Below are 24408 nucleotides of genomic sequence, written 5' to 3'. Positions count from 1 at the left end.
GTAAGTCACATATATTTATCATGTGCAACATGTTTTGAAATCTGTATACATTGTGGGATGGGTACATTGAGCTAATTAACAAATGCATTATTTCATATACTTATTTTTTGTGGTGAGAGCACTTGAAATCTACTTCCTTAGCAATTTTCAAGAATATAATCTTGTACGTTGTTATTAACTGTTATCACCATGTTGTACGGTAGATCGCTCCTTATTGCCAGTGATCAGCCCAATTACACAACCACAGAAAGAAATTCATCCTAGAGCTTGGGGACCTCCAGGCTGTGCCTCTTTCTCCTGATGGTCCAGCACACTGTGGGCTTGGGGTGTTAACACAGTCCTGCTCAGCTGGTGTTGCAAGCTTTCAGTCTGTTGGAATCAAACATGTATTTTCTTCCCCCTCCCTTCTCTCCTGCACACAGACCTATAAGTGATTAAACATAGAGCTTAGTCTGTGCCACCTATATATGTTTTGTGATAACTTTAAGGAGCTGATAACAAAACTTTTTTTTACAAGGTTTTGTTTTGTTTTGCCAGAGCATTCATGTGTCAAGAATTTTCTTTCCTTTTTGGGATTCTTCATATAGATAGTAGATACATAGATAGAAGGTAGGTAGATAGGTAGGTAGATAGTTAGATGACAGATAGAAAGATATAGATAAATGATAGATAGATAGATAGATAGATAGATAGATAGATAGATAGATAGAAGGTAGGTAGGTAGATATAGATAGATGATAGATAGATAGATGATAGAAAGAAGGTAGGTAGGTAGGTAGATAGATATAGATAGAAGACAGTAGGTAGAGATAGATTAGATAGATAGATAGATAGATAGATGAAAAAAGAAAGAGAAAGAAGAGGGAGAGAAAAGAAAGAAGATAGGAAGATAGATGGCAGATACACAGAAAGAAAGAAATAGATGACAGATACATAGAAAGATAGATATTAATAGATAGATAGATAGATAGATAGATAGATAGATAGATAGATAGATAGATGATAGTCTTAGTTCATTTGTGCTGCTGTAATAACTGAGACTGGGCAATTTATAAAGAACAGCCACTTATTTTTTCACAGTTCTGGGGTCTGGAAGTTTAAGATCAAGGCACCAGCAGGTTCAGTGTCTGCTGAGAGCTGCTCTGTGCTTCCAAGATGGCGCCTTGTTACTGCATCCCCCAGAGGGAACAAACGCTGTGTCCTCACGTGGCGGATAAGACAGAAGGGCACAAAAGAATCTAAGTTTGTTCCTTTCAACCCCCGCTACAAGACACCAATACATTCGTGACTCAGTCACTTTCCAAAGACCCCACCACTTAATACTGCCACAGTGGGAATTACGTTTAAACGAATGATTCTTGAGGGACATTCAAATCAGATAGAGAAATAGATCTTCAGATTTTTCTCCCCATGAGATTTTAAAATTAAATTTCTAGATTTCCCTATCTTTTTATCCATATTGTTTCCTTTCTGTTACTTTTTGTTTATAAAGGCAATACAAAGCATGCTCTTGGGGTGAACTCTTGGTCACAGTGACAGTGCTCAGCCCTCTGCATCCACTCATCTGCTCCCCTTGTGACTCAAGTCATACATTTGCTGAGTGACTGTCTCAGACACCCAGTTTAAAAGTGACCCCAACTTTCCCTCATTAGCACTATATAGCAAGTAAGTGAGCCAATTAGACAGAGCCTTACCCATATTAGTGAATAACCAATAGCCACAGGGACCTAATAAGCCCTGGCTGGGCATCTTTAGGTCATTTGGGTTACGATCCCACAAAGCATTGAACAATTGGTAGACGTTTAATTGGCCTTTACTCGTGACTAAATTTTATTCATTAAAGTCAAAATCTTAATTGAAATAAGACTAAATCTCTGTCACTCTTGTTAATAACACTGTATTTTTAAATCGTTGAGTTCTGGTGTTCTTTTAGCTACATTATTTTAAAAAGGACAGGGAGCTGCTGAATTCTTTCTGTTGAATTCTAAATGTGATCTTTGCCATTGCTTATTTAAATTTAAGAAAGCTGTACTCATTCATCATTGATAATCCATATTTTTATTTTCACATTCATGGATTAGGCTTAACAAAATCTTTGAAAGGGAAAATATATTCCTAAATCTGAGCATAGAAGCATGTGTAATTTTTTTTATTATACTTTAAGTTTTAGGGTACATGTGCACAACGTGCAGGTTATTTACATATGTATACACATGCCATGTTGGTGTGCTGCACCCATTAACTCGTCATTTAGAGCATGCGTAATTTTTTAAGTTAATGCAAGCTGCCCTAGTTTCCAACTCTGCATTTTACAAGGTGATTTTTGAACAGCTTACTCCAAATCAGTGGAGGATAGCTTATTGAGGCTTTTTTTACTTAGGTTTTACTGCTTTATAATTATTCCAAAATCTAACTCTACAAGTATGTATGCCTGTGTGTGCTAATTTAATGTAAGCCTTATAAGTATAATTTGGTAGTTTCCCTAGAGTAAACTTTATATTATTCTACCTTTCATTTCCACTGTCTGAAAGGTTGCCATCGTTAAGGAGGCTGAACATTTCAAGTGAAGGACAGTCCTCATGGTTATCATGAATGTGGAATCCTCTGGACAGGGGACTTATGAAGCTGCTTTGTATTGGGTCTGCTCTGGTAATGGCCCAGATGGAAGTCAGGGTGCCCCAACGGTCACCCCGGCATGCTTTTCCAATATGTGCTTTCATTTCACACCTTCTCAAAGCGAATGCCACTTGAGAGGCTCATGCTTGATTGCCTGAAGGCTGCTGCCTTTGTCCTATACGCTGCCGTCAAAGTGTATTGCAAGGGATTCTGTCTTCCACCTTTCTTCATAGCACACCAAAATATTTGGCAGCAAGGCAGAAACTTTTCATCCTATGCTCGTTTGGCCACATTATGCTTTTTAGTGATAATTAGCAGCGTAATTAGCATAATAACTAGGAACAGGTACTTTTGTGGCCCCGACCTTGTGCTGAAATTCTAAACTTGTCATTACTGTGTGGTGTAACCATAGGCCGGCACTTTCTCTGAGCCTCAGTGGTGGTGGTGGTGGTGGTGGTTGTTTGAGACGAATTTCACTCTTGTTGCCCAGGCTGGAGGGCAATGGTGTGATATTGGCTCACTGCAACCTCCACCTCCCAGTTTCAAGCGATTCTTCTGCCTCAGCCTCCTGAGTAGCTGGGATTACAGGTGCCCACCACAATGCCTGGCTAATTTTTGTATTTTTGGTAGAGATGGGGTTTCGCCATGTTGGCCAGGCTGGTGTTGAACTCCTGATCTCAGGTGATCCGCCTGCCTCAGCCTCCCAAAGTGCTGGGATTACAGGCGTGAGCCACCACGCCCAGCCTTTCCTTTTTTTCCTTTCTTTCTTTTTTTTTTTTTTTTTCAGTTAAATGAGGATAATAATAACCTCCCTGAGAGCTATGAGAATTAAATTAGATAATATATAAAAAGTGTCTGGTGCAGGTGCCTACCTCATAACGAACTGTTAGTAAATGACATCCACTATAGCTGTTGCCTTAATTTACCCAAGTGTGTACTATTTGTGTTTGACCTGTCAGTGCCACTAGACCAGACTGGATTTATTTTTGCTTCTAAATTACAAACCTAGATCTGTGATTTTCTGATGAAAGAAAAGCCCCGGTTTTAATCATACATTACAGATCGTCTTTGGGAATGCAGCTGGTTTGTTTGCCTGTATGGTTGTGCACTAACTCTTGCTGGCTTCAGTTTGTATTGGAATTGTTCAGCTGGTGACACCAGTGACTCCCCATCTGTGTTTTCCGTCTCTGTTCTAAGAGCTGCCCAAGTTAAGTCTGCAATTCAATGTGTTTAAACTTTCACAAGGGTTCATCTGATACATATAATATAGTCGTACCCATCTAAACACATAAAATCTAAACATTTGCTCTAAAACATAGAATCTTGTGCTACAGGTTTTATTTTTATCCCTAATACATAAGAACCTCAGCAGGAATAACATTTTCAAGGAAATTATATGCATATTCAACCTTGTGACAGGAGAAAAGCAGAATTTTATCTGTTTCATCTGGTTGTGGCTTTATGTATTTCTATTCTAGGGATGCTAGAATTTGGGGAGGATGTTCTTTAAGAGGTGAAGCGGCCGGGCGCGGTGGCTCACGCCTGTAATCCCAGCACTTTGGGAGACCGAGGCGGGCAGATCACGAGGTCAGGAGATCGAGACCATCCTGGCTAACACAGTGAAACCCCGTCTCTACTAAAAATACAAAAAATTAGCCGGGCGTGGTGGCAGGCACCTGTAGTCTCAGCTACTTGGGAGGCTGAGGCAGGAGAATGGCGTGAACCCCAGGGGGCAGAGCTTGCAGTGAGCCAAGATCGCGCCACTGCACTCCAGCCTGGGCGACAGAGCGAGACTCCGTCTTAAAAAAAAAAAAAAAAAAAAAAAAAGTGAAGAGAGGCTGGGTGTGGTGATTCACACTTGTAATGCCAGCACTTTGGGAGGCTGAGGTGGGAGGATCATTTGAGCTCAGGAGTTCCACCCTGCAGTGAGCTGTGATCGGTGAGCTATGATCCACCACTGTACTCCAGCCAGGCGATAGAGTGAGACCCTGCCTCAAAAAAAAAAAAAAAAAAAAAAGGGCCATACACGGTGGCTCACGCCTGTAATCCCAGCACTTTGGGAGGCCAAGGCAAGCGGATCATGAGGTCAGGAGTTTGAGACCAGCCTGAGCAACATGGTAAAACCGTGTCTCTACTAAAAATACAAAAATTAGCCGGGCTTGGTGGTGTGCACCTGTAATCCCAGCTACTCGGGAGGCTGAGGCAGGAGAACTGTTTGAACTCAGGAGGCGGAAGTTGCAGTGAGCTGAGATCACACCACTGCACTCCAGCCTGAGTGACAGAGTGAGAGTCCATCTCAAAAAAAAAAAAAAAAAAGGCACTGAAGAGGAATAAAGATATAAATAAATGAATAAATGGCAGTCTTTCAGAAAGTCCTTATAATTCCGAGGGATCCCACGGTCAGCATTTTTAGCCAGTAGCTTTTCTATTTTTTTCAGTCCCAAACAGAAAAGCTAGTTGCTAAAAATACTGATCATGGGATCCCCAGAATCATAAGGGCTTTCAGAAGCCCTCGTCTCCACATCTATGTTCACACATCCACGTGTATGTTCTGAAGGGTACTAGAGACTTTTTTTTTCTTTGTTGTAGAGATAGTCTTGTTATGTTGCCCAGGCTGGTCTCGAACTCCTGGGCTCAAGCCATCCTCCCACCTTGGCCTCCCCAAGTGCTGGGATTACAGGTGTGGGCCACCATGACTGGCTAGAGACATATTGTCTTCTGACAGAGCAGTTCCTGCCTTGCCTGGAGTAGCCAGACAGAGAATATTCATTATCCTCATGAGTGAGTAAGATCCCTTACTTCTGTGACTCCGTGGACATCCCAATTGCACCTGCTTTTTAAATCAATGTCACGAGAACTGGTGTGAGTTAAGATGCCAAGCTCTATTTCTGTTCTTCCTAGCAGGCTGTTCAGCATGAACCTTGGCCATGGCCTATTATTTTTGTGCCCACCTTCTTCCCATACTATATTTTATCTATTTTTTTAGCTCATTTCCTTCCATCCCTTTCTCATGCTTGGTAATTCAACTAACTTCCTCCTACGTCATACACAGGAAAAGGTATTCCAAATACTCACAGCTATACTCACACTCTATGTCTCCTAACCAACATCTTTCCTCTCCATAAGATCATGTCTCTTACTTACTGAACATAACAAACAAACAAAACTAGAGGCTATCAGCCTGGGACTCTCCCATCACAGTGCTCTATCCCAGTACATTTTCCATATCTACATGCATCTCCATCTCCTTTCCTTCAACCTCAGGAGGTTATCTCTGATTCTCTTCCAAGGCTAACTCTTCCACCTGAGACATCTGGTCCCACTTTTTCAGGAATTTCAGTCAAGTTTTTTTCTCTCTTACCTTTACATTTACCCTTTGCCTTTTAAATGGCTCTCTCCCCTTAATGTATAAACACACTCAAGTCAATGAGGGGAAAGGAAAAAGAACTTGGCACTATCCATCCTAGATCCCCTCTGGCAGGTGTTCCCCACCCAATGCCTGCCCTTTTCTCCATGTTCAGGTTTATGCACCACTGGTCCTACCCCTGTGCAGTCCTCCAACTGCGGCAGCCCGGCTCTGCCCTGACTCCACTGAAACTACCTTGTCAAAGTCCCGGAGGACTTCCAGGTATGGAACTCGGTGGGAATATCTTAGACCTTGTATCACATGACCTTTCTTCAGCTTTGAACACTATGTACTGCTTTTTTCTTTTCCTTGGAACTGTCTAGTCCCTTGGTTTCACTCTGTATTTCCCTTCTGTCTCTGGCCACGCTTTCTCAGTCTCTTTTGCCAATTTTGAATACACTATCATTCCCTTAAACATTGGCTTCTTCTCTTCTTTCTCTTCCTCTTCCCTTCTCTTCACTTTATTTACTCTTGCTGCATTGATTGCTTCTGCTTCTGTGGCTTCATTCATCACCGATATGCAGATGGCCCACACATTGTTTTTCCTAAGTTCCAGGCACAAATATTCAACTGCAAACTTCACATTTCCTCTTGGATATTCACGGAATACCTCAAAATCAATGTATCCAAAATGAAATGGATGCACCACCCCCACCTGGCCCTCCATGTTCTTCTTCCATTAAGTTTTATCTCAGTAAATGACCTGACTATTTTTTTATTTGCCCCGCAAAGAAACCTAGAGCTAACCTTGATTTCCTTCTCCTCCTCCAACCTTCAAAATCAAATCAGTCTGCACTTCTACATGTGCAGTCTTAACATTTCTGGAAATAGTTCTCCTTTTCCCTCCCTCCCTCTACTACTCTAACTTAGGCCTTTATCATTTCTCTGGAATGACTGCAAATGACATCCTAACAGTTTTTCCTGACTCCAATGTTAACTATGTTCTATTCTCCACACTGAATGAGGCTCCTAAAAGTCAGTAAATTCTTCCTGTCCCTTCCTTGCTTTACCAATTTTTTGGCGGCTTGCTGAATGTTTTATTTGAATGTATTATTTTATTATGTATTAGGATAAAGTAGTACATAACTAGTACATCAAACACATTATTTTATGATTAGTAATACTTGGAGCAAAGCTAAGAATGTATCGATTTAAATTTAAGTGTAATTAAGTAAATAATAGCACTGGTCTAGAAATAGAATTGGTTAAAAAAAATAATATGGAACTCAAATGGCAGCAGAGACATTCCAAAGTTCTCATCAAGGTTTCCCCAGGAGGCCTCTCCCACCTCCCTCCAAGCTGAGCCGTCTGCCCTTCCCCATTCCCCTTCACCTTCCAGGGCTTCCCTCTCTCTGAGCATCCCTGCACTGTAATGCGTGTTTCTACCTCTAGACTTTAACCTTAATGAGGGCAAGATGGAGACTTGACTGACATGTGTGTAGGCAATAAATAAATGTTAGTTGAATAAACAGTGCAAGCTTTGGGTGTATAAAGCACTACATAGAGTACACTTCAAATTTCCCAGATTTCAGGTTGAGCCTTGATTTTTATAACACTGAGTATACCGTTTTTCTCTGGGAGAGACTAAGCAATGTGGCAAGTGACTGAATTTAAAATCAGGAGATTTAGAAGGGTTTAACAACTTTGTTCTGACATGGTTGGGACCTAGAAGGTGGTGAAGGAATAACTTTCTTCATATGAAGGGAACCATGCTAGAAAGGAATTTCTTTATAATTAAAGCTTAGGATGGTTCTGAAATGTTATGCTAATTAGTAATTGATGGTACGAGCATTTTGAAAGCATAGAATGGTATATCAATGCTAATTTTCATGGAAATTTAGATAGTATCTGTCTCCTAATAGAAAATAGCACTTGAAAGTGACATTGAAAATGGCATTTGAAAGGTTGATATAATTCAGACTACTTTGGTTAATGTTTCTGTTCCTTTAATAAGCTCCAATGGAGATCAGAAATAAGAACATTTTGAATGTTTTTTTCTACATTATTTTTTCTGGTCATTTGCCCAGTTAGATGATGGAGTATGGATCATACTTAGGAGAATATGTGCAGTTTGCTGAGGTGTTCTAAGTTCTTCACTCATCCATATGGCTAATTAACCCAAACTTGGGCAGAGGTATTAAGTGATTTCCTTCTCAAGAAAAAGTCAAGGGTATTAATGTTTCACTACCCCCTGGTTGTTTTTTGCTCCCTCCCTTTTAACTTTCTTTGAAAGATGATTTGAAGGTGTTTTCGTCCATTTTGTGTTGCTATAACAGAATATCTGAGACTGGGTAGTTTATAAAGAACAGAAACTTATTTGAGACTGGATAATTTATAAAGAACAGAAATTTATTTCTCACAATTCTGAAGGCTAGGATGTACAAGATCAAGGTGCTGGCATCTGGTGAGGACCTTCTTGCTGTACCATTTCATGGCAGAAGGTGGAAGGGCAAAAGAGGACCAGTCCTGTCTGTGAAGTCCCTTTATAAGGCCATTTAATACAATTCAAAAGGGAGGAGCCCAATGGTTTAAATACCTCTTAAAGGCCCCACCAACAGTGGGGCCAACAATACTATCACATTGGCCATTTAGTTATGTTTAGTTTTGTTTTGAGACAGAGTCTCACTCTGTTGCCCAAGCTGGGGTTCAGTGGTGCCATCTTGGCCCACTGCGACCTCTGCCTCCCGAGTAGCTGGGATTACAGGCCTGCACCACCACACCCGGCTAATTTTTGTATTTTTATTAGAGGTGAGGTTTCACCATGTTGGCCAGGCTGGTCTCAAACTCCTGACCTTAGGTGATCCGCCCGCCTTGGCCTCCTAAAGTACTGGGATTACAGTCATGACCCACCAAGCCCGGCTGGCCATTTAGTTTTAACACCTGAATTTTGGAGGGAACATCTTCAAACTGTAGCAGAGGGAGTGTGGAGATACACAATTTTGTAGGCTTATTAAGGAAACTGATAAATTATGGTTCCTCTTGAGGAAAGAGTACATGCTACCAACCTAAAAGGAAGAGGCTGATGCACAAAATATAATTTGAAGAGTTTACTTGAGCCAAAGTGAGGGCAGCTGCCCAGAAGACTTAACTAACCTTGGATATGAGCTCCCTTCAGCCTTTGTTACAAACAGGCTTTTAAAGGCAAAAAGGGTGACAGACTAGGCTGATACAAAGTTGTTTGTCAGGAATTCTCTTTGGTTTGCAGAAATAACATTGATCAGTGATTGGCTATTCTTTTTTTTTTTGGTGTGGTATTTTAAATGTCATTTTCTTTTTTTTTAAATATACTTTAAATTCTGGGATACATGTGCAGAACATGCAGGTTTGTTACATAGATATACACATGATTGGCTGTATGTTTTTAAGCTATAGGATGTGGGTTATAGTGTCCAGTGTGACATTATTAGGTTAATGTACAGCTGTTTATGGCAATAGTAAGCGGTTTCAAGAGATGAATACATAGCTTAAAGTGGGGAGTTACAACATGATTGCTGTCTCGTTTTCATGCCTTCCCCAGCCTGATAATTTAAAAGGACTTGCCTTCCTCAGATAAAAGAACTTTGCTTTCTTCAGTGCAAAGTAACTATATAACAAAATATAAAATAACTGCATAATAACCATATAACCATGAGGAACAAAAGATAACAGTAGTTCAACAAAAGCTTTAATCATAGTTATACCAACTTGATAAAAAGCAGCAAGACCAGAGGTGCTACGAGTCACGGTGTGATTTGTGCCATTGGATGGTCATGGCCTCAGTGAAGACAAGACTCAGTTGGGAAGAGATTCTGCTTCAGCCAGTCCTTTATTCTGCAGGCCTATTGCCTTCAGGTTGCCACAGCAGCTGCTCAGAGTTAGGTTCACAAAGATTATGTACAAAGACGTACACTGCAGCACGGTTTTTAGAATTAAACAGTGGATCATCCACATGTTGGAATACCAATCATCCAAAAATCACATTGAAGGAGAATAGCCACTGTAAACTAGAAGTAAAATCCCAAGCCCCCCAGCCTGCTGAACGGAGCCCCTCTTAGCCAAGGGGACCCCCAAAAAACCTGAAAAACTGAGTTATTGGCTGTGATGAGAACGGAGGTCAGACACAACTCATGTCCTCCTAGAAGTTAGGCACAAGTGACCAGCATTAAGGTTAAAATAGAGATCATAAGACTGACAAAATAGACTCTTTGTGACCATAAGATACAGAATTATAAACAAGACCTAAGGCCATGCAAGGCAAGGGTTAAGTCACACCCTGTGAACCATAAAATCTCATTAAATGGGTTTTTTGTAATGACCCAGTATAATGTGACTTACTGTCCAACCTGACTCTGGTACAGCCTCACATGACAGCAGACTCCCTTCTCTTAAGCATTTCTTTCTACTGACGTCAAGGTTTCACACAAAGCTTAACTCTTTCAACCAATTGCCAACTAAAGAATCCCTAAGGCCGGGCGCGGTGGCTCACGCCTGTAATCCCAGCACTCTGGGAGGCCGAGGCGGGCGGATCACGAGGTCAGGAGATGGAGACCATCCTGGCTAACACAGTGAAACCCCGTCTCTACTAAAAATACAAAAATTAGCCGGGCATGGTGGCGGGCGCCTGTAGTCCCAGCTACACGGGAGGCTGAGGCAGGAGAATGGCGTGAACCCGGGAGGCGGAGCTTGCAGTGAGTCGAGATCGCGCCACTGCACTCCAGCCTGGGCGACAGAGCGAAACTCCGTCTCAAAAAAAAAAAAAAAAAAAAAAAAAAAGAATCCCTAAAACCCACCTATGACTCATAAGCTTCCACTTCAAGGGTCTCACTTTTTCACACTGAGCCAATGTATGCCTTCCATGTATTGATCTGTGATTTCACCACAATTCCTGTCTCCCTAAAATGTATAAAACCAAAGCGTAACCTGACCACTGCAAGCACGCTTTCTCAGGACGTCTTGAGACTGTGTTCCCCAGGCTATGGTCACTCAGATTGGCTCAGAATAAACCTCTGTAAAATACTTTACCGAGTTTGATTTTTTCCTGTGAACACCACCAACAAGGGGAAAATCTTTAGATTATGTTGCTAAGTGAAAAGCAGTAGTCTACAAAACAGAAGCTATTGTGTTATTTCATTTTTATTCAAAGATAATCTAGTTTTACACATGTGAAAACATCTGTAAAGTGTTAATAAGGGTTACCTTTGAGTGATGAGATTATAGCTGATTTTGCTTTTGTGTGTGTGTGTGTGTGTGTGTGTGTGTGTGTGTGTGTTGTCTTTTCTATGCAAGTATAGGGTGGGGGCTGAAAACTCAGATTCTGGAGTGGGAATATGTACTTGGCTTTGTCACTTGTGTGACCTCTGTGAGTTATTTATTTATTTATTGGAGACAGGGTCTGGCTCTGTTGCCCGGGCTGCAGTGCAGTTATACAGTCCTAGCCCACTGCAGCCGTGAATTCCTGGGTTCAACAGATCCTCCTGCCTTAGCCTCCTGAGTAGCTGGGACTGCAGGCACATGCCATCATGCTTGGCTAAGTATTTTTTTTGGTAGAGATGGGGGTCTCACTGTGTTGCCAGGCTGGTCTTGAACTCCTGGCCCCAAGTGATCCTCCTGACTCAGTCTCCCAAAGCACTGGAATTACATTTCTGTGAGTTATTTAACCTCTTGAAACTTCAGTCTCCTGATTTCTACAATGGACTAATAATAGTAGCTACTGCCTAGGGTTATTCTGAAGATTAATGAGATAATAAAGTATTTAACATAGTACCTGGCACGTGATAGGTACTTTAAAACATTTTTCAAAGAAACTTGGGCGTATGGTATAAGGAGGGAAATGCTGTGAAGGAAGGAAGAAGGGGGGCTGTGAGTTCACTTTGTAAGTGCTGCCTTAAGATGCAAACCAGTGGTGGGTCTACCTGGTGAGAAGCCACAGTACTGGGCCCCACTAACACCAGAACAGTCTTTCTTGCTCAGCAAATCTGTGCTTGGAATATGCAGCCTAAAGAACAAATTCCCATTCCCACCCCCGATTCTCCCAGGGAAATTTCCTCATTTATATCCTAAAGGGCTTCTCAGCTGAAAATGCCAACTTATGAATGTTGAATGTGAATGACTCAAAACTACCAATGGATACTAAATCTTTCATGTAGTTTTGAGGAGGAGGTGTGCAGAGATAGGACCTAACTCACTCTGACAGGCTTGAGAATGGGTCTGTGCTTCCTCCTGAAGCCAAACTTCTGCTTTCTCCAAGGAGCCTACGCCGCTGCATCCCCACACGCTGTGCTGAACAGGCAAGCGCTTGATTTGAGGCTGTTACAGTGAACAAAGAGGCTGATGAATGAATCTAATTATGCACGAAGCAAAGCTGATGAGAAGGCAAATGCCAGCTTTTGAAAATGAAGTCTATGCTTCTGTGTTCCCTTAAGCAAATTTCCTATAATTATGCCTCAGTCAAGATTGTTCATGCTTCAGTTTGGGAAGGCATTATTGAAAGAGTAGCACCTTTACTCTGGTTTGATGTTTCCTTACATGTAAATTGTGCTTATCTTTTAAATTAACCTTCTCTAAAAGGCTCCTTTTTTTTCTTTTCCTAACCCACAGAAGTCAGTATTACAGTGGTTCAAGTCTGAAAAACTTGAAGGTTTTATATAATACTGGAAAAACAACAGCATGGTAATGTACTTGGCACATGCCTGAGGCTCCCAGCATAATCAGTATTGACAAAACTTACTCATAAGCTGAGTGGAGTTTTAAATGATTTAGTTTAAGATTGTAAAATAACTCAATAACATTTCGGAAGTCATAAGTGGCTAATTAGGTCTCTGAGTTCTATTTGAGTTTCTGAGTTTGGCATCCATCTTATTCTAATTTGGAAACTTAGGTAGAACTTTATTTTCTGATTGGTTGTTACTGAGTCTTGCTTAGAAAAAGATAGCTTTGTCCAAGTCTGCTCATGATTCAGAAGTTTATACACATTCAACAGACAGTTGTTGACCACCTATGAAGGCATCATGAGAAGTTGAGGTCTTGACCCCTGAAATCTCAGAACAATGGTGAGCTCTGCTGAATTTTTTGCAGTGCATTCTCCGTAAGGAAGCAACACTCTCTTCCAACACCTTACTTCCTAGTAGCCGTTGGAAATGACACCCTGGTTACACATATCCATCCTCTCCATTGTTTCTAAACCCATGCCTCTGCAGGAGACGTATTTGTATCCACTCATTTAAAGCCAATACTTGGCCAAGTGAATGTGAATCTGTTTTTCTCAGCTCAAGTACCCACTGAGGTTTTCCCAAGGATAAATTCCTTTCAGTATCTAATCGGCCTTACGTATCTATTACTCAATTAGATACTACTTTGTGTTGTCTCCTCTTTGTCCCCATGTGTATCTCCTATTTGTCCCATGAACAGGGACCAAGTCTTCCTGGATCACCTCTTCCTCATCATGAGTACTTTGGAGCAGCTTATGTGCCTGCCGGTGAGGCTCCTCTGCAAGAATACATCATCGTATTTAACTGCAGGTTAGGTGGAGGCAAATGAAATGAATCCTCTGATTTCCCATGCTATCACAAAGAATGACTTTTGTGAATATTTTCTGTATCCCAAGATATTCCCTGCCCAACCATAGGCCAACACACTCTATCAGGTAATACGTGCATATATGTCATTAAATGGAAGGCATATTTATTCTGAATTTGTTATGAGACTTGAAAAAGGTCCAGACAATTTGGGAGCTTTCAGGAACAGAGAAAAATTGCTCTTATGCCTTCTAAATCATTTTGATCCAGAAATGGGAATACCAGCTGCTATTCAAAACTACCGTGTTTTTGAGGAACTTATATATTAGTTTTACAATCTAAAAAGTACATGGAATGTGAAAAGACCTGATATTACCGTGTTTCCAATTAAAAAGCAGAAGCTCTACTGAATTTTCAGCAGAATAGTGTTAAATCACTCTGCTAGCTAGAGATGCCTCACACAGAGAGAGGAGCCCTGAGAGCTTTCACTTTTGATTTCATGGGCAGCAGAGAGGCTTCTGTCTATAGTAGAGCCAAGTTGGACAGGATCTGGCCTAGGAAGAGTTTCCCAAACTCCTTGTTCCTCTTCTATTGTCCCTTCCAAAGGGCCCTAAACTAGAAGGCACTGTGTTGACTGAATTGAATTCCTGCCATGTACATAGAACTACCAGTGCTCAATAAATATTTCCTGGCTTGAGTTTCCAGGCAAGATGGGATTCCATCTCTCCTAAGCTGAGAATGGTCTCCTCTGGTAGTAAATATCTCTTCCTGAATTATGTACAGATCTTTCTTTGCCCTCTGGTTCAGTTCTAAGCTCTTCCCAGGATATACCCTATGTCTCCATAGCTGCAATTATAACCCTCCTCATTTAATTTGTTCTTCAGAAGAAACTGAGAATGTCATATTCACCTCTGAGTTCCAAGAAGGAGTTGTACACACTCTAGATCTCTTCTTCAGAAACCAGTTTGGCCGGACTCTCTTTAAACTGCCTTTTTCCACTCAAACCTACCCCTCCTCCCCTCGTCAGCTCAGCCTTTACGCTCGCGTAAGACACAGCAGGCCCTGGCATATGTGTTAAGTGTGTGCCAATCCCCCATTTGTGGCACAGCAAGCTGTCTGTTTGGCAGCCCCAGATGCCTCCTTTCCTTATTTTTACTGTTTTAGGACTCTGTTTAGTTCCTCAGATGAAATTGCCTGAGAAGCCATTTTGTCACATTTATGTCGATTCCTTACTGGAAGGAAAGATATGGGGAATGAGTTTTTCAGAGGCTAAGGAGAGAGAGGTGAGGCACAGACTCTCTAGTAATAAAAACCTGCCTGTAATCACCGGGAGGTGGAATACACATTCAACTGTCAACTTGCTATAACATTTCCAAATTAGAGGATAATAATATGATTTACCAAAAGTTCTTTCACTTTCTAAAACACTCACCAAAAAACCCCACAGATCTTTGGTATATGTGCAATATGATTATAGTTAGTGATAGTTCCAACTAATAGGTGTTATTCTATGTGCTTTACCTATATTCTTATTTAACCCTCAGGCATCCCAGAAAGGAAGATGCTATTATTTTCACTTCACAGATCAGAAAACTGAGACACAGAAAAGTGGAATTATGTGTCTACGATCCGTGATTAATGGGTGGTGAAAGATACCTGTTGTGTTAATTCTTGACAGAGTGCCCCATGCGTGTGATTTTAGCCAATGTTATTGGATCTTTAGCAAAACCTTAGAAAAATGACAAAAACATCCACCCTCTTCTGCTTAGCAACCTTTAAATTACATTTAAAAATGCCTAAGAAATCTGTTTATGGCTTTACTATGTGTACAGTGAAGCCATTTTATGATACATATTTTGAAATTTGGTAAAGCGTGGCTGTTTGCTCTCAGCAAGACAGGCTGGAAAATAGGGGGACAGGCTGGAGAATCCAGGGCACTGCCCCTGGATTGCAGGCGCAGGTGTATATCATGATGAAATGAGACAGACTCAGATTACAATTCTAGCTCTAGGACCTCGCGCAAGTTACTCATTCATCAACTAACTCGTTCACTCTTTTAACAAATGTTTATTGCATTCTTACAATGTGCCAGACGCTGTTGAGGTACTGACGGAAATGACTTGATCTGATTTGGATTTTTTAATGATCATTTTGTCAATTCTCCACATCCTTCTCTCCATCAACCATATGTGTGTGTGTGTGTGTGTGTGTGTGTGTGTGTCTATATATATATATATATATAGTAAGTATATATAGTATATATTTAAGTAAGCATATATATAAGTAGTATATATATATAAGCGTATATATATATACAGTAAGTATATATATATATATATATATATATATATATATATATATATAGTAAGTAAAGCAAGTTCTTTCTTCTTCAAAGCCTTCTTCAATATTTTTAATGCTGGTAGAGGTCCTAGAGGCAAATAGAAATAAGTAAATTTTGTGGCCTATAGGAATATACATATGAATAAATTAGTGGGCTGGCTTCTCCACAGTGCAGATGGAGAAGCCTGTACCTCACCAACCTGCGCACATTTATAACCAAGTGGCCTGTAGAAGTTTCCAGGCCTCTGAATTATTTTTCTCAGAAAGTTTGATTCCACACAGTTTGCTTACCATGGTCAACACAGTGGCAGATTTTGGCATACCACCTTATTTGTCATTTTTCAGCACTACCCAGAACTACTAACCATGCTGTCGAGTCTAGGAAGTTAGCTAATAAGCTTCCCTTTAATGAGATTTGAAAAGGATTGTCAGTTGGAAATGACAGTTGGTATAAGAAAAGAACATAGTGTTCAGAGGTTTTGCTAGGGCTCCTTAATTTTTAGGTATTTGAATTGAATAGAAATTAGGGGGCTTTTTAAGATCTCATAACTTCTGGGACCATGAAAAGATAATCAGCAGGGCTTTTTCAATATGATAAAAACTCATGTAACCTCAGGGTTTTCTACCCTACACAATCTTTGTCTAGCGGGTGATGTTTTCATGGGGAGCTTTCCTGACATCATATCAGTACTACAGGCAGTGCTTGTGGGTCTGACCAACAACTTCAGAAGAAAACCCATACCTTTCTGTAGAACGGTTTAGTACAATTTTACATTTTGTGAGTCTCCTCTCTGATTCTTGGCTCGTCTAACGTAGTGTTCCTCAAACGCTATTTCCTTTTTTAATGAGGCCAACGCAAATTAATTATTAAAATAATATCTCTGCCAATCATGTTTATCTAAATTTCTGTTCTGCCCAGCATTTACCTTGTTGTAGTTACACCTTTTACAGCCACCCAGTTCTCTTCCCAGAATGATTCATGTTCTTTTATTAAGCTGAGCTAGAACTTTATAGAGTCCATGAGGTGCTCCAGGAAGAAAGAGTCAACATACAGGATGAAGAAAGAGGGTAGAGCCATATTAACTGATTTTCTTCCTTTGTCACATACGACTATTTTTCATCCCTGAATTCTCCACATCCTTGTCTCCATCAACCAGCTCTGTACGTCCTGCTGCCTCCACCCTCACCTTGAAAATATTTTTTGTTTTTTTTGCACTACATTTTCCCGCTGTCCTTAAGCCTGAAAATTTTCACTTTCTCTGCCTTTGGCCTAAAACTCCCTGATGTTTCTTACATATTTACCTTCAATTTTTGCAGAACCATGTATCTTCAAAGGGAAAAAAACTCCCTCAGGCCCACCTCACCAAACCTAGAAAGAAGACCATCAAAATTACTAATAAAGCATCAATTCAATTCTGAGGTCATTACATTCGCTATTAAATAATTCACAGGTCATTAACTGCCCAGACTGTGTCTTTCAAGCACAGCTGTTGAAGGAACTAAATACTATAAATCATTAACCATATTAAAGGAAAAGAATGTTGGGGGAGAGCAGTGGAGATGGATAATTAAATCAAACAGTAGTGACACTGAGCAGGATGAAGCAATGGGATTTGGAGGCTGACTCTATGCCAAGAGAAGATCGATATTCCAAGGTAATGCGTGTCTGGGGAGTAAATGGAGCTGCCAAGCCAGTGGAGGCCATGGAAAGACCTGTGAGTTAGGGAAGAAACATTTCTATAGATGTAAGAGTGCTGGCCACTTGCCATGTGCAGTGTAAAATAAAGTCTTGACAGCCAACTCGGGAGGTCTTGAAGAGGTTGACAGTTAAGAACAGTGAAGTAGATGTTTGTTCCTGGTAGAAAATCTAAGGGCCACTCAGAAAAAAATTTTCTTTTCTGCATCCCTTTCTGTAGCCACGAACAAAACACCAGGAGAAGCTGCATGCAGCTAACTTTTGGCAGCCCTTCGTTAAACAAATTTGCCCAAGTACAGTTTTCAATTCCCCAACTCTGACACAAATAGTAATAATAGTAATAACAAATATTTATTGAGTATTAGATGCCCATGATTACCTCTTTTAATTTTCTCAGCAGCTTTAAAAAAACTGTTCTATTATTGTTTCCTTTTTTACGTGGGGCTCTGAGAGATTAAACGACTTGCCCGAGGGGACAAGTTGGTTAAGCGGTGGATGTGCAGACTGTCTGGTTTTAAAAACCCTCCATTTCATCAGAACCTGCTGTGCAGTCAGGCACCTCCCGCTGCTTGTTGGTAGATCTAGATTCTAAGAGAGACAGGAAGAAGGACTTCTTTACACACTTGTATTTGGTCTTGTGTAATCATGTTAATCAGAGTACATATAAGTAAATACAATACATTTCCTCAGCCACACACATAAAGGAAAGATCTTCAAAGACCTCCTCAGCTGTCTTTGATAATTCCGATGGTTATAAAATAAAGCACTTAGTGTTAACGGGCTTTAAAACAATTGAATTATGCAAGGTAACTCAAAAAGTGAACCAAGTACAAGTCAATACAACATAAGCTTTCTCTTTTTAGAATTATAGGCTTCCAATCATTCATTCCACCAACAAGGACTGTGTTTCTTCCTGAGCACATGCAGAGACTATGGGACAAAGATGTGATACTGTGCCCACTCCTATTGTTTCTCTGAGGAGCACAGAGATTCTACAGCATGTGCCAGACAATGGGGGATTTCAAATGAATAAAATACAAGTTCCAATTTTCTAGTTTATAACCCAACGGGAGAAATGCAAGACCCCTGAGTGACTACAGTACAAAGAAAGATGAGATTGTTGTTCCTCAAAATGTTATAAATTTTGAATGATCACCTTTTACTTCATGACATAATATAGAACCCAAACAGATTAGGCAAACAGATCTCTGGCCTGAGGCAGCTCCAGGTATCCCACTTGAACTGGGATATGCTACAAGCCTTCCAGTGAGTTAAGTACCCAGACAGAGGATACCAGGGCAGAACCTTCACAATCCTTCTGTGAGCTTTAACGAAAGCCTGCTATGGCTCCCACCACTCTCCCTGAGGTCCCTGCTAGGCCCCAGAGTCATCCAAAGGCTCTGCTCACTCAGATGGCCCCATAACCTCAAATAGCCATATCATTGAACTTCTACACTTGCTCATGTCTCAGAAATTGATTTTTTTAGTATAAGCGTTCTATGACTTCACAAAGTTTCATTTCCCCCAGAGAACTCTCAAAGAGAATTCCTCAGATGTTAGTTTCTTACACACAAAATACTTCCAGTAATTAAGTTTCCCTGCAAAGTTCATCTCTTTTTTCAAAGCTTCTCATTCTTTTACTTAGACCGTGGAAACTCCTCAGCTCAATAGTAGCATGTCTTGAATGACTCTCCATTGCACCTTATAGGTGTGTTTGTCACTCTCTAAGGAGGACTGCTAGACCGCCTGCTAGCAAGGGGCATCATCAGCCCCCAGTCTATCTGCAAGATGCTCCTGCAGCCAACAATAGGGCAGCTGGGCTGACGGGGCAATGGATGCAGAGTATCCATGAAGTGCAGGAAGAGGGTAGCAGGTGTTTCATGCCACAGATCCCGAAACCCTAAATTCAGATGGCTTCTGGCATTAGGTGTTTTATTGTTTTCAGGACTCTGCATTGTCTTGATCAGAATTGCTTTTAAAAGCATACCTGGACATGCCTAGTATTTTCTCACTTGCAAATTACCTCACAAAGTTCTTCACCACCCTCTTCTCTGTTTCTTTCTGAATATGAAGTATATCAGTCTGTGTCCAATCAGAAGACAGAAACCACATAGTAACTTAAACTAAGGGAAATGTAATATAAAGAATTACTTATCTCTGGTTCAAAACTGTTAAGAAAAGTATTTATGTTACAGGAGGGATGAGGGGTGTATGCAAAGCTAGGTAGGGTTCAGACACATCGGAGAATGTGTGATTGCAGCCCTCTGGATTCCAAAGTTGGCTGGTCTGCCTATAGTCTAAGTGTGGCCCAAATGTTTTATGGGATATACTTATGTTAAGGAATTATGGTTATTTATCTGAAATTCAAATTTAACGAGAATCTTGTTTTGTTTTAATAAATCTGGCAATCCTGCCTCTAGGATGCAAGTAAGGCACAGGTGAGCCATAGCAGGTGGCCAGGCATGCAAGGAAGCAGAGGGAATAGGGGGTCTGGCCTACATGGCATCCATGTGGAGAAAGCCATAAGAATGTTACCACCAGCCCAGGCCAGGGCTGCAAGGGCACTGAGGGACTATATCTTTTAGGCACGTGGCTGTTACTGAGCATCACCAGATCTCTTCACACCCACACCAGTGGCCCACCATGCACCAGTTGAAAACAGCAGGAGAGCCCCCTTGCTCCTGCACTGTCCCTCTAGCACCCCTACTAAGAAAGCTCTACCTCATGCTGTCTGTGCAGGAGAAAAGCTGAAAGGAAACCCCTCCCTTATCACAAAGCAGGTATTGAAGGACAGATTTGGAGCTGAGATGCAAGACGTTGAGAACTGGCACCTGAAGCCTTATTCTTTCCTCTACCAACTGCACAAAGTGTTTTTTTTTTCTTAACTCATTTTATAAGGTCATCTTCCTTTCATATAAAATATTAACTCATGTTAATCTTACACAATCTCTGCAGAGTGAATGACACATGATACCAGCTCTGATATTTATAGAGAATCATGGAATTTGGTAACTTATCTACCAAAGCTGTTTGTTTTTTCCTTTGGTGATTTTTAAAGAAAAAAAAAGGGAGAAAGAAATTTAAGAGAATTCCCCTGAGCTGCAGTCTCATAAAACACAATCACACATGCTTTCTGTTCCATGGTTAATGGTGGGAAGACAGTCACTGACACATTGCTTGTCTGTGTGAAAAGAACAATTTTTCAGTATCCTGGATTCTTTTTTATTTTTAATTGGGGAATTAAAGCTGTCAAGTTCTAATTTCAATCAGTTGTGAGCCCAATTCTTCCTTGGCAGGCTTCAACCTGGAAGATAGTTCAAACAGTGATTACATTTTTCTAAGGAGAGGTTTAGAAATGGAGGAATTCTGAAGTTGAAAAAGGAATGGCTACTGGAACACATGTATGGGTTAGCTTAGCCAGGCTTTCTTCCTCTCCCTACAAATGGTGAACCCATATTTTTAGAAGCAGGTGATTTTCCCCCAGGGTATTGTATCTTTGTGATAAAACAGTTTATGAAAACTCTATTCAGAAATTCTGTTTTGTTGTAGAATAAAAGATTTCCCATGGTGCAAACCTCCCTTTAAATCTCTTAATAGTATTTAAATTTTATTGGCTTCTAATTATGATGCTTGTGAGTTTTTTTTTGTTGTTTTTATTATTTTTTTCAAAAGCAAAAGTAATTCATTCTGGAGATGGGAGAAATTGCTTATATTCTTGACTCGCTAGACACTAGACAGAGCTTGATATAAAAAAAGCTATGTAAAACTTTAGGCTAAATGAAAAACTTGTGAAAATAGACATAAAATTCTGTCTGTTTTTCAGGATAGGTCATAGTTTCTGGGAGTTCTTGCATTAGATTGGGAGCCCTTGGAAGCATTTCTTTTAACCCACTGTCAGTCTGTTCAGGCTGCTATAGCAAAATACCATAGACTGGATAGCTTATAAGCAATAGAAATATATATCTCACAGTTCAGGAGGCTGGAAAGTCCAGGGTCAAGGTGCTGGCAGATTCCATGTCTGGTGAAGACCCACTTCCTTGTTCATAGACAGCCATCTTCTCACTGTGTCCTTGTGTGGTGGAAGGAATTGGGGGTCTCTCTGGGGCCTCTTCTGTAAGAGTGCTAATCCTATCCAAGAAGGCTCTGCCCCCTTCACGAATCACATGTTCAGACCGTGGCACCTAATATCACAGTCACTTGTGCATGTGCTTGAGAAATGTGCCACTGAAAGTCATGATTACAGAAAATCGAAGCTTGATTTAATACTTTCTTCCAGGCAAATGAATTAACAGGGATGCAGGAGGCTTTTTCTGAAGGACTTTTCCCCACTCTCTGCACTGGAAGACACGAGAACTACACTAAAATAATGTTCCAGGCAAAGCCTTCTGTTAACAACATGCCTCTCTGTGAGGTGTGTGATGAGGATCTCTGGGCCAGCATAGCCCTTCCTTGAAAGGAAGTTGGACACCAACAGCTTCAAGAACGGCAAGGAGCACAGCAGGTTCCTACTCCAGCTTGCGATGTGATCATTGCCTGAAGCTTCTTCTCTTGTTAATTAGAGAACCTGATTCTTCTAAAGTGTCTCCACTCTCCTTTATAACATACAGACACATGCTTTCCCTCCTTCTCCCCCAAATCCTGATACTCTCATATTCTTCTTACCATTCCCTTCCTTTCCATGGCCCAGGAGCATTTCCCATTTGAAATTTCTGAGTTTCTCAGACTGAATGAAGACTTAGGGACCTTTTTAGGATATACACTGAGCTTTCTGCTGGGTACAGTGAACCGACGTTAATCAGGAAGAATTTAATTTTAAAAGTTGAACATTCATCCCTAGTTCTATCACCTAATTGAATGGCCACAGGCCTATTAAATGAATTGTGTTATTTCTTGGTGACTTATGAAGGGAATACTAAAGGTGATCTAAAGGTGGTTCATTCATTCATTCAGCAGATATCTGTTGAATGCCTCTGGATGTGGCCAAATCAGAACCCTGTTATTACCCTCATGAGGCTTATAACCTAGCAAGGAAGACAAATGCTAAATAAGAAATGACTCTTGTGATGAGCGGTTACAAAAGGGAACTGCACAGAGATCCACGTTTCAGAGCACTTTTGTCACGCAGGTGCTTCAATCTATTAACTCATTTAGAGCTCACGAAACTCTATAACATACTTCCTCTCTTATTTCATCCCCATTTTATAGAGAAGAAAACCAAGGCACAGGTTTGTACAGGGACACTTAGCTGCTAAGTGGCATAAGCAACATTCGAACTAGGAAGTCGGATGTCAGGGCCCTCAAGTCTACACCAGGAACTAACTAGAGATGCCATCCACAGGACTTTTCTTCAGAGCCTTTCTCTCACCTCCCTCCCTCCTACTGCACTCTGCCTTCCCATCCCATCCCCAGTTAGGCTTATTGGCAGAATCAGGGACTGAGAAAGGAAGAAACCAGAGGAAAGATCAGAGCATGTCTGGTGCCCACACGTCCAGGGAGGTGAGCACGTGCCACTCTTGTACCACCAAGAAGCAAGAAAACCGAAGTGGGTCAATAAATTCCCAGCAGGTGGCATCTCCAGGTGTTAAGTTGGACCACCCAAACCCTCTCCCTAGGTCCCCATTTTCTGCTCCATCGTCTGCCTCCCCAGTCCCTGGAGTTCACTCTACTGTTCCACCAGCTCCATGATTCCTGCTGACACCTGGCATTGCCTCTTCACCTTGTCCTGGTCTCATATATGGTTTAACTCTTACCCATTTCTTTTTCTGAAAAAAAAGTTCAATGCCACTGTCTTTGTCCTGCAGCAGGGGTTTGGCAAGAGTGTTGAGATCTGATGGCCATTAAGTTCATAAGATGTGGGGCTCCTTAAGACTGGAGCAGTGCTAAGGAGAACTTAGAAGTCTTAGAGGCATTCAATGCACGGTTGGCTGGATTTTTCTTCAGAGCCTTCAGAGAGGGTTACAAAGAAACCCTCCCTCCTTCACCTCCTTTGAGTTCTGTGATAACTTGAGAAGTAAAGAAATGAATTTGTATCTCATTTGGAATGGAAGACACATTGTAATTTTTTTTTCTGGAAGAAGAATAAATATTGAAACTATTGGTTCTCAAAGGAAGGAACAAATGCGTTAACATTTGGGAGTTTTGTTTAAGTCATGTTAGTCCTGTCTTGCTGCCTAATTTTTCCTTTTGTTATTAATTTGGCTTGGAATGGAACCATCTTTACAGTTTAATTTAACCACATCTCCCATGTAGAAAGGATTGTTCTTCTAGCATATTTCCTTCACAATGCTGGCTCCTTTTCCGCCCCAGTACATTTAGTCTGACTTTGTTGGAGGCCACGACTGATTTCTTTCACTCAGTTATTCCGAGACAGAGAGTGTAGGAGGAGACAGAGAGGGACACACACAGCTAGAGGGGGGCTGTTTGCAAACATTGATTCATTCACTCATTCACTTAGTCAGTCTTATTTTTCATGTGTATTGGACCCAAAAACATGGCCAGCACTATGCTACTTGCTGGAGATAATGAACAAAGCCAAACCTCTGAAGGACCACTTAGCTAGCTTGCTTGCTTCCTTGCTTGCTTCTTTTCTGCCTGCATGCCTGCCGCCAGCCCTCCCTCCCTCCCTGCCGCCCTCACTACCTCCAACTCCTCTCTCTCTCTCTTCCTTTAGCCTTTCTTAAGGAACAATATTGAATAGGGGACTCATTAGAAATCAGTCTCTTCTAATAGTGATTTATTTTAAGCGTTCCCACTTGTAAGAGGAACATCTCTCTAGGGCATCAGAGTCATTCAGATTGTTGTGTGATTCTGAGCCAGAGGCCAGGAGAATCCTGAATTTGAACTTAAAACCCTGGGTC

At 41.0% G+C, this 24408-nt stretch overlaps 1 protein-coding gene across 14 annotated transcripts in view; it reads left to right on the top strand.

The window, feature by feature from the left end:
- The window catches only part of PLD5 (phospholipase D family member 5), a 447561-nt gene that overhangs the window by 272798 nt on the left and 150355 nt on the right, over positions 1-24408 (top strand). Inside the window, exons 1-2 of one of the 14 annotated variants that reach the window (XM_017000570.3) lie at positions 16006-16923; positions 17173-17510. The exons of 10 other annotated variants lie outside the window; for them this stretch is intronic. Coding sequence is in view for 1 of the 4 variants with exons in the window: in XM_011544119.3 (XP_011542421.2) it covers positions 6043-6244 (202 nt within the window). In the remaining 3 variants the exon portion in view is untranslated. Of the gene's footprint in view, positions 1-5336; positions 6245-12628; positions 12671-16005; positions 17511-24408 lie in introns of those variants that run through there. 3 more of the 14 variants (XM_011544119.3, XM_011544121.3, XM_011544122.4) reach the window with 3 other exon arrangements.

The sequence above is a fragment of the Homo sapiens genome, chromosome 1 (assembly GCF_000001405.40).
Source record: "Homo sapiens chromosome 1, GRCh38.p14 Primary Assembly".
Classification (NCBI taxonomy): Eukaryota; Metazoa; Chordata; class Mammalia; order Primates; family Hominidae; genus Homo; species Homo sapiens.
This window is presented reverse-complemented; position numbering and strand designations above follow the sequence as displayed.